General features: G+C 44.2%; 1 protein-coding gene across 3 annotated transcripts in view, besides 4 other annotated features; it reads left to right on the plus strand.

Annotated features, from left to right (window-relative positions):
* Positions 1–18,342, plus strand: part of PRKCB (protein kinase C beta) — a 384,629-nt gene that overhangs the window by 168,683 nt on the left and 197,604 nt on the right. The window lies entirely within an intron of this gene.
* Positions 6,041–6,090: a silencer, noted in NCBI's record as "silent region_7285". NCBI's record gives its function as "represses an Ori minimal core promoter by ATAC-STARR-seq in GM12878 lymphoblastoid cells {active_cell/tissue: GM12878}" and the evidence as "EXISTENCE:reporter gene assay evidence [ECO:0000049][PMID:35858748]".
* Positions 9,786–9,905: an enhancer, noted in NCBI's record as "active region_10596". NCBI's record gives its function as "activates an Ori minimal core promoter by ATAC-STARR-seq in GM12878 lymphoblastoid cells {active_cell/tissue: GM12878}" and the evidence as "EXISTENCE:reporter gene assay evidence [ECO:0000049][PMID:35858748]".
* Positions 10,016–10,085: an enhancer, noted in NCBI's record as "active region_10597". NCBI's record gives its function as "activates an Ori minimal core promoter by ATAC-STARR-seq in GM12878 lymphoblastoid cells {active_cell/tissue: GM12878}" and the evidence as "EXISTENCE:reporter gene assay evidence [ECO:0000049][PMID:35858748]".
* Positions 18,049–18,208: an enhancer, noted in NCBI's record as "active region_10598". NCBI's record gives its function as "activates an Ori minimal core promoter by ATAC-STARR-seq in GM12878 lymphoblastoid cells {active_cell/tissue: GM12878}" and the evidence as "EXISTENCE:reporter gene assay evidence [ECO:0000049][PMID:35858748]".

Here is an 18,342-nt window from a genome sequence, read left to right on the forward strand (position 1 = left end):
ACTAAACAAAAACATAAAACAGGGAAGGAGAAAACATGAACTCTAATGCATTACTGGTGAGTGGCAAATTAGTATATGTTTTCTAAAGAGCAAATTTTCCATACATATCCAGAGCTTTAAACACATTTTTGACCTAAGAATTACTAAATCTAATCATTTTGACCTAAGAATGACAATTCTAGGAATTTTTGGTAAGAAACCATTTCAGGATAAATGCATAGATTTATCTAGAGTGATATTCATTGCATCAGTATTTATAATATCAAAAATTTGAAAATGACCCAAGTCTCACTACCAATTAGAGTTTATATAAGTAAAATATATTACAGTCATATGGTGGAATGCTGGCCAGTGATTCAGTGTCACAGTGTCTGGGGATAAGGGGAATGTTCTGTGTCTTGACTGGGATGGTGCCTATACAGGTGTACACATTTTTCAAAACTCATCAAACTATATGCTTAAACTCTGTACATTACTGTATGTAAATTATACTTTAATAAAAAGTCACAGTGATTAAAATGCCATTGGCCTGGAAATGCAGTCATAATATATTGCTAAATGAAAAAAAAAAAGCAGACAACAAAACATTAGGTCAGGTATGATAGATTTAAAAATATAAAAATATATACACATGTAAAGCCAAAGGCCACATTCCCTAAATAAATTTTCGTGAATACTTAATTCTGTTCACTGTCTTATGCCAGACTTGTTACCTGCAGAGCTCTGAAGGTCACTTTGGGATGTTCTGTAGCTGGTTTCTCCAGTTTTGTTTGTTTCTGGGGCCACTCCACCTCTAGTGCAGACTCAGGTTTCCCACTTAGTTCAGTGAGGACCAAACTTGAGTGGCGGTTCCGGCGTAATCGGGAGTCACTTACAGTTCCTTCCAAATGTGGTTACTCTTGAGGTCCTCCATCCGCTGGGAGTCAGCTCAGTTCCTGGACTGAGCATCTTCAGGTGCTTCTAATAAGATTCTGGCCTCTGATAAGTCTTGACTTCAATTCATTTTTGGCCCCAGAGAAGGGGAATCTTGGCTCTGCCAACAAGGCCCTGTCCATTTCCTGCCTCAGTGTGAGTGGCAGGAAGACCACCTTGATCTTCAGGGCAAAGGCTCGCTTCCTCCTCTTGGTGTCATCCGGTCTCCTTGGCTCAGTAAAGCAACGTAACAGTCAAGTGCACTTTTCTCAACGCCTGGTTTCTTCTGTCTTACATAACCCCAAGTGGGGACACCCACAGTGAACTTTCAAAAATAATGCTCCTTCCAGGGAGCGAAGCAGCAATGAGGGTTGAACATCTCTCTTGGGATGACCATCACCTGGACCAAAAGACCCATTTACATCTCTCAAGGATAAGTAATGTCAGGGGCAATTTAGTCTAAATGATACAGTCTCCACCTCCCTTCCTCCCTTCCTCCCTTCTTCCCTCTCTCACTTATCTATTATCTCCCTACATCTGAAAGTGCACCATCCTGCTGAAATCACATCCTGTTCACATAACACTGCAGTCCATAGCTTCTGAATCCACACAGAAGTTCTCGTGGGCGATACCAAATGCCAAGAGGATGCCTTAGAAGGAGTCTGGAGATACTCGAGGATTGGCCTCTCTAGCTCAGAGGTTACACTGTCATCAAATGTCCAAAGAGCTCTTGTACAGAATTTTTGTGGTGCAGTTCTAAAGGAGAAGTAGGACTGAGGTCCATCTGTGCAGGCTAACGAAGAACAGCCCATACTGACCAACTGGTTGCTACATAATAATATTAGCTCCCCATCCGAGGATAGTAAAGCTCAATTGCCAGGCATGCTGTAGAGGGCATAGCTGTGGTAGATGTGGGTTTCTACCATGTTGGTGGTTCTACTAGCTTTTGTTGTTTTGTTGCATGCAACAGAAACCATCTTTGGTTAACATAAGTTGGAAAGGAATTCATTGGAAAAGATGTGGCATCCTTCAGAGCGTTGAAAGAAAACTTGAACAACCAGACCAGTTCTATCTGATTTTGGTTCTTGTGTTACATTCAGCCTAAATTCAAATTCCAGAAGGAGAGAGATTATCTGGCCGAGCTCAAGTTGCCTAACAAACTCTTGGGTCGGGCTTTTAAAATGTTCTTTCAAAGACTAAACGCTGTGGGGGTAGGATGGCTTTTCAAAGGAGAATCGAAGTACTGATACGGGGAGCAGGGGGTGGGGAGGGGGAAGAAGGCACAGATGTTGCGCCAATTGGAACAACGTGTTTGCTACAATTTCTAAATGCTACATTGCAGATTGCAGAGAGATTGGATGACAGGCTTCACCTGAAGAGATAGAGATCAGGACCTGGGAATCCATGTGTTAAAAAGTTCTTGGGTAATTCTGATGGATAGCTGGGTTTAGAAGCCAGTGTAAGGCAATATGTATAAAAGCTCTGAAACCAGAATGACTGAGTTTGAATTCCAGTTTGGCCACTAACTAGCTGATAATCTTGGGCTAGTTACCTAACCTCCCTGCTTCAGTTTCCTCATCTATAAAAAGAGGATAAAATGGCACCCACCTCATAGGGTCCACGTGAGGATTAAATGAGTTAACCTAGATGGTAAGAGCTTCATGCCGTAACTGGCACATAGGACATGCTAGTTAATATTATTGCCACAAATGATCCTTTCAAGTCTTAGATTGTGCATTTCAAAAGTCCATCCTTATTTTTGGAATTGCATGCATTTATCTTGCTTTCTGCAAAATGGAAAGGCATCTCCCATGGGCTGGTTGGAGAGAGGGGCTGATAAAATGATGGTAATGTGATAAAATGCAGTTCTCTTGATTGTCAAGTGAATTCTGCATGATTCTTCTGCTCTCATTTGCCACGGGCTGACTGCTTCTGCAATGCAGAACCCGCTTGTAAAGGTCAGAATGAATTGCTTCCAAACATCCCTTTGTCCCTCACTGTCACGAAGACACAGAGCTGCATGCTGTGGAGGAAGAAGCAAATCCATGATGCTGGAAGGCCAGAGAACAGAAACCAACCGTGCACAGAGAGGCGAGCTGCTGGGACTTGAATGAAGCTGATGCGTCCCATCTATAAATTATTGTGGCTTCTCCTAGTTGGGAGGCAGGACCAGCCTCACAATTTCCCAGAAGACCGTAATTTCTGGAGCCTGCAGGCCTGGGGGCAAATGGAGAAATCAAAAGGCAGATGGCCTTGGAGATAGGCAGCCAGAAAGGATGTGAAAGGCCCTGGTTCTGGACTCAAGAGACCTCACGTTTCCTAGTCTTCTTTCTGTCTCTGCTCTTTTGTGTTCATGAGGTTCATGCCCTCATGAGGGCTCCCCCACCTCCAGTGGTCTAGGATTCTAGGATGTCTTGGTATTCTTTTTCAAAAAAAAAAAACTAAGAGCCAGCATTTATAGATATAATTCTGTCCTAAACACTTTACATATAATAATTCTTCATTCTTCATTACACCCTGTGAGATAGGTTATCATTGTTATAATTCCATTTCACAGATGAGGAAACTGAGGTACTCAGAGACTAAATGACTTGCTCAAGGTCACTTGTGAGAGGTCCAGCTCTAGGCCCTCTGGCCCGTGGGGCTATGCTCTTACCTAGTACCTCAAACTGCCTGGTAGACCTCAACCCTGTGTACCTGCACAAATGGTCCTGAAGCAGGCAGCTTTCTTCCCTGAGAGCTGCCTTTCCAGATATGCACTGCCAAAGGTCTGTGACCCTACAGCCTTGGCCTGATTTGGTCCAGATGCGTGTGGACATCTCTCCCAAACAGGATCAAATTGGCCTCTTCTAGGAGTTTAGAATTTGGAATCAAGGGTGCTGGTTTTAGTCTGGACTGGTCACACAGTTTTTGACAACTGTTTATTGTACGGGAAAAGTGTCCAGCTTGATGAATTCTCACACAGTGAATTTTTCTTTGTAAGCAGAGCCCCAGAAGCCCTTCTTTGCTCCTTCTAATCTCTACACGTCCCTCCCCATCCATCAAAATAACCACTACCAGACCAGCAATCCTTTGGCTGCTTTTCCCCCCACCCCCAGTGATCTATTTTATTTTATTTTGGAAAGAACACGTAACATGAAATCTATCCTCTTAACAAAGTTTTAAGTGTAAAATGCATCATTGTTGATGATGGATGCAGTACGAGACAGCAGATCTCTGGGGCTTATTCATCATGCTTGACTGAAACTTGATGCCCATTGGTAAGTAATTCCCCATTTTGCCCTTCTTCCAGGCTGTAGCCACCACCCTTTCACTCTGATTTTCTATCAATTTGACTATTTTTGTTACTTTACGTAAGTGGAATCATCTAGTATTTGTTTTCCTGTGACTAGTGTTTTTCATTTACCATAATGTCCTCAGGGTTCATCTATGTTGTCTCATTGCAGAACTTCCTTCTTTTTGGGGGGCTGAAAAATATTCCATCATATGCATAAACACATTTTCCTTATCCATTTGTTCGTCAGTGGACACCTAGATTGCTTCCACGTTTAGCTGTTGTGAAGAGTGCTGCAATGAACATGGAACTGCTAACATTTCTTCAGGATGTTAATTTCAATTCTTTTGGGTAAATACCCAGAGGTGAGGGTGCTGAATCATATGGTAGTTCTATTTTTAATGTTTTGAGGAACCTTCACACGGGCTAAGGACTTGAATAGGCAGTTGTCCGAGGAAGACATACAAATGACCAAAAGGCATATGAAAATTTAAAAAGCTAAACATCACTAATCACTAGGCAAATGCAAATCAAAACCACAATGAGATATTATCTCACACTTGTTAGGATGACTATTTTTTTTTTTTTTTTGAGATGGAGTCTTGCTCTGTTGCCCAGGCTGGAGTGCAATGGCGTGATCCTGGCTCACTGCAACCTCCACCTCCCGGGTTCAAGTGATTCTGCTGCCTCAGCCTCCCAGAGTGCTGGGATTACAGGTGGGAGCCACCACGCCCGGCCTATTTTTTTTTTTAAAAAAGACAAGTGTTAGCAAAGATATGGAGAGATTGGAACCCTTGTACACTGTTGGCAGGAATACAAAATGTTGCAGATACTATGGAAAACAGTTTGCCTGCTTTTGAGCACTTAAAAAACAAAACTAGGCTGGGCCCGGTGGCTCACATCTGTAATCCCAGCACTTTGGGAGGCCGAGGTAGGGGGGATCACTTGAGGTCAGGAGTTTGAGACCAGCCTGACCAACATGGCAGAACCCCGTCCCTGCTGAAAATACAAAAACTAGCCTGGCATGATGGTTTTTGTATCTGTAATCCCAGCTACTCAGGAGGCTGAGGCAGGAGAATCGCTTGAGGTTGCGGTGAGCCGAGATCATGCTACTGCACTCCAGCCTGGGTAACAGAGCAAGACTCCATCTCAAACAAAAACCAAAAAACAGAATTATAGAGTAGACCATCTCTTGTGTCTGGCTGGTTTCTTTCATATGTGTGTGTGTGTGGCCACATGATATTGAAAGGACACATAGCATCCTGTTCATCAGGATGTCCAGCTTCAGAGCCAGCAGGGGCCAGGCAGGTGGGTGAATGAGTGACGTGTGTGACCACAGGCATGTCCCATTGGCCCATTGAACACCCTATCTGAAAGGGGCAGCGGCACTCAGCTCCGTTTCCTAATTCCTGCTGTTTAAAGGATGAAGGTCTAAGTTTTCCCATTTTTTTCCAGAGAAATCTGAAATCCCCTAAATTTAGATTTTGACAGAGAATTCAAGAATTACAACTGTGGTGTATTTTAAACACATTTTTGGACTGGATTCCTTCTGTGAACCTCCGGTTTACAACTTCTGCATTCGTAGGTGGGGACTGTCAGTGGAAGGTCTCCCCCACCCCACATCGGAGGGGAGAAGGGAAAATGTAAATTTAGTCAAATGGGCTTTCTTTGGAGAGTAGAGAGTGTGCAATAGTCCAAGGCAGGGAGCTTTAAAAGAATGCAGAAGTCTTTTTTCTCTCTTGGTGTCTGAGCTCTAAATTGGCTGGGACATATCCTTAGTTAGGAGTCAGTGGCTATAGCGCCCCCTGCTGTCCTTTAGCACCCTCTTCGTGTCCAGTGAGATCTGCAGGTGAGCCTGGAAGCCACTTGCTTCTCCTGCAGGTTTTGGGAGGAAGATTCATCATTTTAAATATTGCTCAAGTGCCTGCTGCTGCCAGTGACTTCATAGGCTCCTGTTAGACTCACCTTCACTTATATTTGGTCAATTACCTACTCCCTCAGTCAGACCTTGCCACTCGATTTTTTTTTTCTTTTTGATACAAGGTCTCACTGTGTTGCCTACGAGTGCAATGGTACCATCACGGCTCACTGCAGCCTCTGCTTCCCAGGCTTAAGTGATCCTCCTGCCTCAGTCTCCCAAGTAGCTGGGGCTACAGGCATGTGCCGCTACGCCTGGTTGATTTTTTAATTTTTTTGTAGAGATGGGGTTTCATCATGTTGCCCAGGCTGGTCTCAAACTCTTGGGCTCAAGCAATCCTCCCACCTTGGCCTCCCAAAGTGCTGGGACTACTCAGGCATAAGCCACCATGCCCAGCCACCACTCTATTTTTTTTTAAATTGGAGGTAGGGTAAGAAGGACTGGGCCAGGTCGTCCTTCCCACAATTCCAGTCTCACTGTTTCTATCTATTGAAAAGCATTTCTGGCATTTGCTTGGTACCTTTCCCTGGTTTCTGGGCTGAAATAGATTTTATCCCATTTTTAAACAATTCCTTCTGATACTTTCAGGGGTAGTTTGTGGATGAGAGCAGAGTGAAATGCATAGGCTCAGGTTTGTGGCCTTGCAAGTTAATAAAGAGTGTGGACTTTGGAACTAGCCTGCCTGGGCTCCAATCTTGGCTCTGGTACCTACTAGCTGTGTATCATTGTTTTCATTGTTTTGTTTTGTTTTATTTTGTTTTGTTTGAGACAGGATCTCACTCTGTTGTTGGGGCCAGAGTTCAGTGGTGCAATCATAGCTCACTGCAGCCTCCAATTCCTGGGATCAAGTGATCCTCCCACCTCAGCCTCCTGAGTGGTTAGGACCACAGGCATACACCACCACACCTGGCTAATTTTAAATTTTTTTGTAGAGATGGGGTCTTGCTATGTTGCCCGGATGGGTCTTAGCCTCCCAAAGTGCTGGGATTACAGGCATGAACCATTGTGTCCCACCTTAGCTGTGCACTTTAAATAAGTCACTTGACCTCTCTGTTCCTGTTTCTTCATTTACAAGGTGAAGATGATAATATACTACTTCTTAGGGTGAGTATTAAATAAGTTAACCTATGCAAAGAGGTTAAAACAGTGCCTAGCATATCATAGAAATGTTTGCTTGACCCAGAGGCCTGAACCTGCTTTGCCTTCAGTGTTGGTCTTTAGGTCCTGGCTTCACTCCTTAATGCTGCATCTCAGCCTTTCCTCATGAAACTTTCTGTCTTTGATCCTTTTCACTCCTTAACTGTGAATCTCCCAAATTCCACTGAGCAGTGATCAATTCTTGGGGCATCTTGCTCTGTGTTCCCAGACATTCCTTCACCCTCATTTTCTCTCCATGGCCAAATCCTATAGTGCCTCCTAAATAATTATAGCTGACATGTATGTAGCACCTATCATATGCCACGTGCTGTTCTAAGTGATTGATATATGCTAACTCATTTAATCCTCACCCTATGAGAAAGATGCTTTTTTAACACCTATTTTATAGAGGAGGAAACTGAGGCCCAGAGAAGTGAACTGACTTGCCAGGTCACATAACTAATAAGCAGAGTCTGGATTTGAGTTTGGCTCTAGAGCCTGCTCTTAGCCACCATGTCCCATCCTCACTGAGAGGACCCTTGTTCAACTCCACTAACCCTCTCTGGACAAGTAGCCTCTGGTCCTGTCTCCCTGCTTCCTCTCTGTCTCACTGGCCTACCCTTTCCACACCTTTCTAAAAACCAAATGTGATCATGTCATCCTCTTTGTTGAAAACATGTCAATGGCTTCCCATTGTTCTTGGGACAAAGTAAATACTCTTTGAAGTGGCTGCGAAGCAGGGTGGACATACGTCCTCCTCTGCCAAGCTTGCCTATAAACCAAATTGGTTTGTTCTGTTGTGTCAGCGTACCACAAGGCTGGTGCCCTTGTCATCCTCACAAGAGTCCCTGTTGGAAGATACAGGATATGATTGTCCTACTCATGAGGCCCTGCGTGCTCTGGCGTCAGGGTCCCTCCAGCCTTTGCTTGACCACTCTGAGTACCTTCGTTCACTCCTCTGTTCATCCTGCCACCAGGCATTTGCACATACTTCTCCCTTGGCTGAGATACTCTTCTCTCTCTTCTTCCCTGTGAGTTCAGTGGGTCTCAATTCTAGTTGCATTGTAGAATCTTCTGCAGGGCTTTTTAACTGAATGCAGTGTCTGCACCCATTCCAGACCAACTAAGTCCAAATCTCTGATTGATTCAGAACCTCTCAGTTGCATGCAGGGTTAAGGGCCCTGGTCAACTCACGCTGGTCCTCTAGACTGCAGCTCAAGCATCACTTCCTCAGGGAAGCCCTTCCTGACCTCCCTGACCAGGCCCATTTCCAATATTTTGTACTCAGCACACCACATACCTCTTCTTGCTGTCACATATCTTAGGGACATCTAAATATTAGGTTGGTGCAAAAGTAATTGCGGTTTTTGCTATTGTAAATAATGGTGCAATAGTAATTAGTTAAAAGTAATTAAAAATAATGGCAAAAGCACAGTTACTTCTGCACCAACCTAATATTTACTTACATGGTGACAAAGAACCCAGATTCTGGATAAAAATGAATCACTAGCTGTGTGACCTTGGGCGAGTTACTTAACTTCTCTGTGTCTCAGTTTTCTCCCCTATAAAATAGGAATAGTCAAAAACCTGTTTTACATGGTCGTTGAGGATCAAATTAGTTCATAATATGTAAGGCGCTTGGAACAGTGCCTGGCACATGGTGAGTGCTGTATGTGGTAGCTGTTACTGCACTAGTAATTATTACCCCCTGCTGGGATCTGTAAATCCCTGAAGGTGGGGTTGGCATCCGTTGTTTGATCACTCCACACCTAGGATGCTGCATGAACATAATAGCTCTTCAATACCTGTCTGTTCAGCAGAGTGGCGTCCTAGTGAGGTTCTTGGTAAAAGATGAAAGGTGAGATGTGGAATTGCAAAAAAAAAAAAAAAGTATAGACATCAGAGTTGGCCTGCACAGAATTCACCTTCCTCAGTTAGGGCCCTTGTCTATGCGGGCCTGCTGGTTCAGGGTCATTGTTTCTAGCGGTCATGAGGATCAGAGCCTGCCTGGACTTGCTGTGTGCAGAGTCCCCGGTGCAGATGGCCACCTGGCAGGCATTTGCTCCAGCAGCATCCTTTGCAGGAATGGGAGGCTCCTCTGTAATTCACAAACTCACCGTGTCCTTCTATACAGAGGATCTTTCTGCTCTTCTGAAATGCAGACTTGGGTGTGCTGAGAGCTTCTGTGACAGAGGGTGCTGTCAGGAAGCTGGGCATCCAGGGCTGCACCTGGAAACCAAGCTGGCAGCGGCTTTGCAAGTTGAATAATCTTATGTTGTGATCTTGCATTTACGGGACCCCCCACTTAGCAAAAAGGGGTGCTCAGACCACTTCCCTTAGTTGGCTTACGGCACTGCAGGGGGAGAGGGGTGGGGAGGGGAGGAGATGGGTGTGGTTTTGTGGGTGATGGAGGATTTATTTATAATGTGGGTGTGATCCGTTGCCATGTGACTATTCCCTGAAACTACTGTACACCCTGAGCAATGAATGCACAACCCGGCCTGCACAGGAAGAGGTGGGGCTCACTCTGTGAACAGCCTCCACCAGAACTCGAAGGCCCCCTGGGGAATACCAAGCCTAACCCCTTTGTTTTCAGAAGGAGGAACTGAGACCAGACCATGGCAGTGACTTGCCCAAGATCACAGATGTCATTTTTATTCTAAGCTAACATTTGTCATATGGATACTACATGCCAGTCACTGTGCCAAGCTAAGCATCATCATTGTGATTTCATTAATCTGTACACATCTAGAAAGCAGGCTCATTATATTCAGCAAACACTTGCATAGTGTATATATGATGTGCCAGGCACTGTGCTGAGTCTTTTACAAATATTAATCCATTAAATTCTCATAATCCTATGAGGATTTAGTGTGATTATTATTTCCTTTTATTTATTTATTTAAGACAGAGTCTTGCTCTTGTCACCCAGGCTGGAGTGCAATGGCATGATCTCGGCTCACTGCAACCTCCACCTCCTGGGTTCGAGCAATTCTCCTGCCTCAACTTCCTCCCAAGTAGCTGGGACTACAGGCACCCGCCACCATGCCCAGCTAGCTAATTTTTGTATTTTTAGAAGAGATGGGGTTTTACCATGTTGGCCAGGCTGGTCTCGAACTCCTGGCCTCAAGTGATCCGCCCGCCTTGGCCTCCCAAAATGCTGGGATTACAGGTGTGAACTGCCGCGCCTGGCCTTATTTCCATTTTAAAGATGAGGACCCTGAAGCTCAGAGAGGTTGGGTAACCTGTCCAAAGTCACACAGCTGGGAGGTCATTGAGTTGGGAGTCAATCTCAGACAGTCTGGCCTTGAAGTGTCTGCTCCAGCACTGTCATTTCTCTCCATGTGACAGCTCTTCTCTCCATTTTACAGGTGAGAAAATCAAGGCTTATATAACTCAAGTAGCTTGCTCGAGGCTGCACGACTGGAAATTACCAGAGCTGGTGTTGAATTTGCACATTCCAGCTATAGAATCTGACCCCTGATCTCATGCTAAACTCCCTCTCAGTGGGGCTAGGGTCTTTTGGCTGAGGGGTCCAAGCTGGGAACAGGTCACGGGGGTTGAGGCAGAGCCTGAAGCCAGCAGGTGGAGGTGGGGTGGTGTCAGCCAGGTCTACCTGGGTTGACTCTGAACCTCATGCAGTGGAGCAGTTACTCCCTTCCCATGGGGCAGAGCCCCAGCTAGGTGGCCATCGCCTGGTTACACCCTCTAATTCCTTAAGATTTCAGCTTAAACTTCATTTTCTCAGGGAAGCCCTCCTGACTCTATCCAGCCGACACTCTCCTTGTAAATTCTCTAAGCACTGAGTGTCTCCTTTGCAGCTGTTGGAAGTGTACATTGGTTTATGCTTCTTTATTGTTTTCCCCAACTAGACTGACATAGGGAAGGTACTCAACGAATATTTGGTGACTAAATGGTTAAATAAGTGAATGGCTTATAGCTGTAGTAGAAGGAATTGGCACAGGAAATCAAGACTGAAGTCCAAGAAGTGGAAATATATATAAGGTTTATTGGGAAAAGTCACAACTCAGTAGGCACAGGGATGCCCTGAGCAGTGATAATTAATAATTAATAGTTAATAATAATAGCTTGTACTTATTGAGTGCCTGCTCTGTGTCAGGCAGCTGTTTTAAAGGTTGTGGGTAATTCATTCCCTAGAACCTCACAAAACAAATATTGTTATCCCCTAGGGATAACTACCGCTAGGGTTATTATCCTAGCTCCCCCTAGGGTTGTTGTTCCTAGACAGTTAAGGTTAACTAGGGATAACATCAAGAGAGCTGGCCCAAGGTCACCATTTCTTCCCAGCTTTTAACCAACGTTTTGAGAATACAGTATTCCCCATCAAAATCGTGGCTCACCACGGCTGTGAGTTTCACCCAGCGGCCTGGGTGGTCATGGTGAAAGCTAGAAATACATCTCTGGAAGACATTTTCAGGTATGCTACAGAGGCTGGCATACCCGGGCTAAGAGCTGCTGGCCTGGCTAATGAACTAAGATCACTCGTTGAAACAACAGGTATAAATCTCCAAGCAGAAAAGACTCGCTTAACATGGATGGCAAATGTTGTCTACCAAGAAGACCCAAGAAAATAATCAAATACCCTTTGCCAAGAATGTCTGGTTATAAAATAAAGATATAAATGACAATAACTTTTCTGTATTTTAGCAACAACCAGTTAAAATAAATTTGAAAAAATCCCAGTTAAAATAGCAATAAAGAGGTAAAATACCTAGGAATAAATACTTAGGCCCCAACTAAGAGAGTTTATGGGGGAAAAAATCTTTTCTGGAAAAACACAAGAAGGCTCAAATTACATGTGAATTCCACCCCTAGCTCCCCCAATCTGTTTTTCTCCTGGCAGCCGTGGTTCTATATCACATCCCACCTCACCCCTTAGCTCAGCCACAGCACCCAGCTCTGCACAATTCCTTATTCTAAATTCTGATTGGCCCAGTTCTTCCTTCATAAATTTCATATCACTGACCCAACCTTGGTCTATTCAGCATTGGCTGGAAGTATGAGGTCAGATGCTTTACTGTCCACTGAGCTGGTGCTGTAGGTTGGAATTTTTCTAGAAGGGTCAATAAGTTAAGCAGCCAATGATTGGCATTTCCAGCACAATCTGGGAGAATACATGGATAAGAATAACCAAGAAAAATTTGAAAGTAAGCAGGAATGCTAGGGGAGGGGCCAGTGGGTATAAAGGTGTGTGCCTCTAGATACCAAGAGCTTATACTATGGTATGGTGCAACGGTGGGGAGAGAGAGACAGATCAGTGGAGCATAAGACAATATTAAAAAATGAGCCGAGAATACATAAGAAATTCGTGTATCATAAAAGAGGCATTTCAAATCAGCAGGGAAAAGATGCATTTCATACATTTGCTGTCTAAACATTAAGAGTAGAAATAAAGGTCTTTCTTGAGAGCTCATGCTAAAATGAATGCCAAGGGAAATGATGATTTCAATGTAAAAAAGTGAAACCATAAAAGACTACCAGAAAATATCAGGAAGGACTTTCTAAATACGACAGCAGAGACAGAAACCATACAGGAAAAGGGAAAAATTTGCACTTTATTAAACACGCAGGCACACACACACACACACACAGACACGCACATGCGTTATACGTTGAAAAAAGAACATCGACAAAATTAAAAGGCAAATGAGAAACTGGGAAAACATTTACTGCATATATCATAGGTGAAGGGTTAATATCCTTAAATAATACACAGGAAAATTTGTTACAAATAATTTGAAAGAAACAAACTTGAATTTTAAAACAGGCAAAATTAATGATAACAGTGAACATTTCTTCTTTTTTTGTTTGTTTGTTTTGGAAGCAGGATCTTGCTCTGTCACCCAGGCTAGAGTGCAGTGGTGTGATCCTGGTTCGCTGTAGCCTTGAACTCCCGGCCTCAAGTGATCCTCCCACTTCATCCCCACAAGTAGCTGGGACTATAGGCATGCGCCACCATAACTAATTTTTTTTTTTTTTTTTTTTTTTTTAGACAGAGTCTCGCTCTGTGGCCCAGGCTGGAGTGCAGCGGTGCAATCTCAGCTCACTGCAAGCTCCACCTCCTGGGTTCATGCCATACTCCTGCCTCAGCCTCCCGAGTAGCTGGGACTACAGGTGCCCGCCACCACGCCCAGCTAATTTTTTGTATTTTTTAGTAGAGACGGGGTTTCACCATGTTGGCCAGGATGGTCTCGATCTCCTGACCTCGTGATCCGCCCACCTCGGCCTCCCAAAGTGCTGGGATTACAGGTGTGAGCCACTGCGCCCGGCCCATAACTGGCTAATTTTTAAATGTTTTGTAGAGATAGAGACAAGATATTACTATGTTGTCCAGGCTGGTCTCAAACTCCTGGGCTCAAGCAGTCCTCCCACCATGGCCTCCCAAAGTGCTGGGAATACAGGCGTGAGCCACCGGACCTGGCAGAACATTTCTTAAATGTTCATCTTCACCAGCAACTTTATGCAGTTTCCATGCAGTATCTCACTGAACTCTTACTAACCTAGGAATTAAGCATTATTATTATTCCAGTTTCCACACAAGGAAACGAAAACTTAAAAGGGTTAAATAACTTTCCCTAGAGTCAGAAAGTTAATAACTGGAAGAGCCAAGAGTTAAGCTTAGATGTGGCTACTAATTCACCCCTATATTGACATGGACTGCAGTGCAGATCTTAACCCAGGAAATGGTATTTTAAATTCTGCCAAAGTTTATACAATAGAAGCTTATCCTTCAAATGGAATAATTACGTATTCGCCAAATGGGCGGGGTTAGAAGAGGGCAGGGTATATCAGGCGGTTGAAGCAAATCGTCACCCAACACACAAGTGTTTACATGGTGTTATTGGCTCTATTCATTCTCCTCTCCAGGAACAAAATGAAAGATCGTCACCAAATTATAGTGTCCCCTTTTCAAATGTGCCATGCGTGTGTAATTACAGCTTCTAACATTCTCCACTTTTCATGCTCAGACAATCTCCGTCCACTCAGTCTCAATTAAGGTTTCCCTACTTTTTTTGTCTTTTGCAAATTTTTGGCCTTTTGTTTGCAGTTGTGGGCATGGCAGTACTGATGTGTTACTCACGGTGGTAGTACAAGAGGTGAGATTTTTGTAATACCCAGATAAACCCTAAAATATTCTACTTTACATCAAAAGTATAGAAAAGTCTGTGCTGAGAAGTTTTACTCTCTGTCTACTTTATTCTCTCTTGCCTCCATAGATGAACACTTGTATTAGGTTTTTTTTTTCTTTTTTTTTTTTTGGTGTATCCTGCCAGAGGTGTAATTAAGAGTCGACTTTCCCCGGTTACTCAGGAGGCTCAGGCAGGAGGATCACTTGAGCCCAGAAGTTTGAGGCTCCAGTGAACTATGATCTCGCCACTGTGCTCCAGCCTGGGCAACATAGTGAGACCTTGTCTCTGAAAATAATTTTAAAAAGAAAGGATACACACTTAACTTATTGCACCTCGCTTTCTCACACACACAAAAGGTACCATGTAATATACACACCTCAGCACCTTGATTTTTTTGTTTGTTTCACTTAAAAAATACAACCTTGGTCGGGTGCAGTGGCTCACGCCTGTAATCCTAGCATTCTGGGAGGCCGAAGCAGGCGGACCACTTGAGCTTGAGCTCAGGCGACCAGCCTGACTAATATGGCGAAACCCTGTCTCTGCAAAAAATATAAAAAGTAGCTAGGCATGGTAGCGTGCACCAGTAGTCCCAGACACTTCGGGGGCTGAGGCAGGAGGATTGTTTGAACCTGGGAGGTTGAGGCTGCAGTGAGCCGAGATTGCACTGCTGCACTCCAGCCTGGGTGACAAAGTGAGGCCTTGCCTAAAAAAAAAAAAGAAAAAAAAATGAGATTTTTTTCCATATTAATGCAGAGAACTTCCTCATTGTACTTTATACCTGAGTAGTCTTCCATTATGTGGCTACACTATGATTTATTTAAACAACCCTTTCCCAGTGACACTTAGCGTGTTTAAATCTTATGCTACCCTAAACAGGGCTTCAGTGAATAACTGTATCTGTATATTACTTCCTATGTATGCAGGTTATTTTACCTTCGTCCAACGTGATGGAGTGAAAGGTGAAAAGAATTTGTAATTTTACAAAAGCATTTGTACTTTGGATAGGTAGTGCCAAATTGCCCCCACAGGATGACACCAATTGGCCCACCCACCAGGAATATGTGTCTCTGTTTCTCCACAGCTTTTCAACAGAAACTGTCGGGATGAACATTTAAAATTTTCATTTTAAAATTTTAAATTGTCTACTTCATTTTAAGGTGCATTAGAAAAGGCAGTTTGCATATTGATCCCATGAGTTCACACTCTTAGTTTCATTTTTAAAAATAGGTTTATTTAAATAAAAATGGCAGTACTGAATTGAAGAAAAATATCAAGTAAATATTATGTTGGTGCAAAAGTAATTGCGGTTTTTGCCATTACTTTCAATGGTAAAATCCACAATGACTTTTGCACCTACCTAATACTGTTACAGGTTGAATGCAGGCATGCGAAGTTATGACAGCTCATGACTGAAGCTGGGGAAATGTTGCCATGATGATTTTTTCTCTTGGGAATAATAAAATCAAGAGGTTTTATGTTCTGTGTGCAGGACACTGTGCTTGAGGTTTTATAAAGTGGATACGGTTATTGGACCCATTTTATGGCTGAGGAACCAGAGACTCAGGGTGGTTAAGTCACTTCCCTGAGGTCACACAGCTAACTCTGGAGCCTGCGCTTGTTAATTTCCCTCTGTTCTGAGGGTATTTCCAACTGGGACCTTCAATTTAACCTTGCCTACCTACCCCATGGGAAGTAGAGCCTCAGGAGCTTTCATAGCTTGTAAATGTCCAGGGATGACACAGTCTGAACTTGCAATTTGCTTTTCCTTTCTCCTCTATGGATGCTGTTAGCTTGTGTTTTCTCTCTGTGTGCCTCATTTCAGCTTCCTTATTCCTGCAGTTTTACTTCAGCCCAACCAGATTTCAGCCCACCTGTGGGCAAAGCTGCACAGCCCATTCAGACTGAGAGAGACTTTTCTTTTTCTTTCTTTCTTTCTTTCTTTCTTTCTTTCTTTCTTTCTTTCTTTCTTTCTTTCTTTCTTTCTCTTTCTTTCTTTCTTTCCCTCCCTCCCTCCCTTCTTTCTTTCTTTCTTTTTTTCTTTCTTTCTTTCCTTCTCTCTCTTTCTTTCTTTCCTTCCTTCCTTCCTTCTTTCTTTTCCTCCCTCCCTCTCTCCCTCCCTTCCCTTCCTTCCTCTTTCTTTCTTTCTTTCTTTCTTTCTTTCTTTCTTTCTTTCTTTCCTTCCTTCCTTCCTTCTTCCTTTCTTCCTTTCTTTTTCTTTCTTTTCTCCCTCTCCCTCCCTTCCTTCCTTCCTTCCTTCCTTCCTTCCTTCCTTCCTTCCTTCCTTCCTTCCTTCCTTCCTCCTTCCCTCCCTCCCTCCCCCCTCCTCCATCTCTCTCACCTGTGCTTCCTTTCCTCTTAGCTGCCTGTGTCTGGGATTAAGTGATGACCTAGGATCTGCCTGTCTTTGATGCTGGGGATTGTTTTTCACTATAAAGACTCTGGTTTGGGGGTGGCAGGGACCCAAGTACTCTGTCACTGGCCGGTGCTGAATTTGTGTGAGATGAAGAGTGTTATTGTCTATAACCCCCGTGTTAGGTGGGAGACTCTCTGGGGAGGCTGAGGAGCAGGGGGGCAGCCAGGGGACACTGAGGGGTTCCCACTCGGCTGGCTGCATTTCTGGAGTCTGACAAACTTGGCTTCCAGTCCTGGCTCTCCCATGTCCTTGCTTTGTGACCTTGGGCAAGTTACTTCTCTGAGCCTCAGTTTTCTCATCTGGAATACCAGGATAACAGTCTAACTCCTCCATCACTGGGCTGTCAGGAGAATCTGGGGACATGACATAGAGGACTCAGCACAGTGCTTGGCAGGTAGTATGTGTTCAATTCAATAAAATTGGTGGCAGTAAAAGTCACATTCGACGGTTATTTTGTTGTTGTATTCAACAATCTCTTGAATAAAGATTGGAAATGGAAGGAAATTTGGGAATCCAAGCTTGCCTAATACCAGGCATGTGGAGATGGAGCCTCAGCAACAGGAAATACTGGGAAGAGGAATCGTGCCAGGATCCTGTGGAAACCTGATTTCCAGGGGTGGGCGAGATGACTGGGGATGATCAAGGGGTGATGCTGCGGCAGGAGTGTAATAGTTTCAAACCTGTTTTTGAGAGCACTTGAGACTGAGTCAGACAAACTCACTCGGGAGTTTAGGGGATGTGTTCACATGGGGTTGGATTCCAGCACTGTTGGGAAGAAGGTAGGGAGTCTGGCAGAGGTCCCAAATCCAAATTCCTACAGGGTCCAGGCAGGAAAGGGGAAAGAGAGAAGCAGGCCTGGTGTAAGACAATAGGGAAGAGTGGGGACTGTGGAAAACTAGAAAGTTTATTACTTATCTAAAGGGGAAAACCACTGCTCAGCCCACAGAAATGAGTGTTCTGTGTTGTCACAGCTGATGATTTCTCAAAAGGAAGCAATATTTCACATTTTTTATTCTTTCTTTCTTTCTTTTTTTTGTTTGAGACAGAGTCTCGCTCTGTTGCCCAGGCTGGAGTGCAGTGGTGCGATCTCAGCTCACTGCAAGCTCCGCCTCCCGGGTTCATGCCATTATCCTGCCTCAGCCTCCTGAGTAGCTGGGACTAGAGGTGCATGCCGCCACGCCCGGCTAATTCTTTTTGTATTTTTAGTAGAGACAGGGTTTCACCGTGTTAGCCAGGATGGTCTCGATCTCCTGACCTCGTGATCCGCCTGCCTCGGACTCCCAAAGTGCTGGGATTACAGGCGTGAGCCACTGTGCCTGGCCAAAATTTCACATTTTAATCTGATAGTTCCTGACTTAAATATAGTAAACTTATTTGGATTTCTAAGAAGCACCTTGTTGGCCAACGGTAGCTTCTTTACAGGCTTGATATAGCTTCTGGGTTCCACACTGTGGCCCCTGGGCATGAAGGAGGGCCCAGGCCAGGGATGGGACAGGCTCTAGGTGGCCTGGAGGTGTCTAGTCAGTGTGGCCTGGGT

The sequence above is a fragment of the Homo sapiens genome, chromosome 16 (genome assembly GCF_000001405.40).
Source record: "Homo sapiens chromosome 16, GRCh38.p14 Primary Assembly".
NCBI lineage: Eukaryota > Metazoa > Chordata > Mammalia > Primates > Hominidae > Homo > Homo sapiens.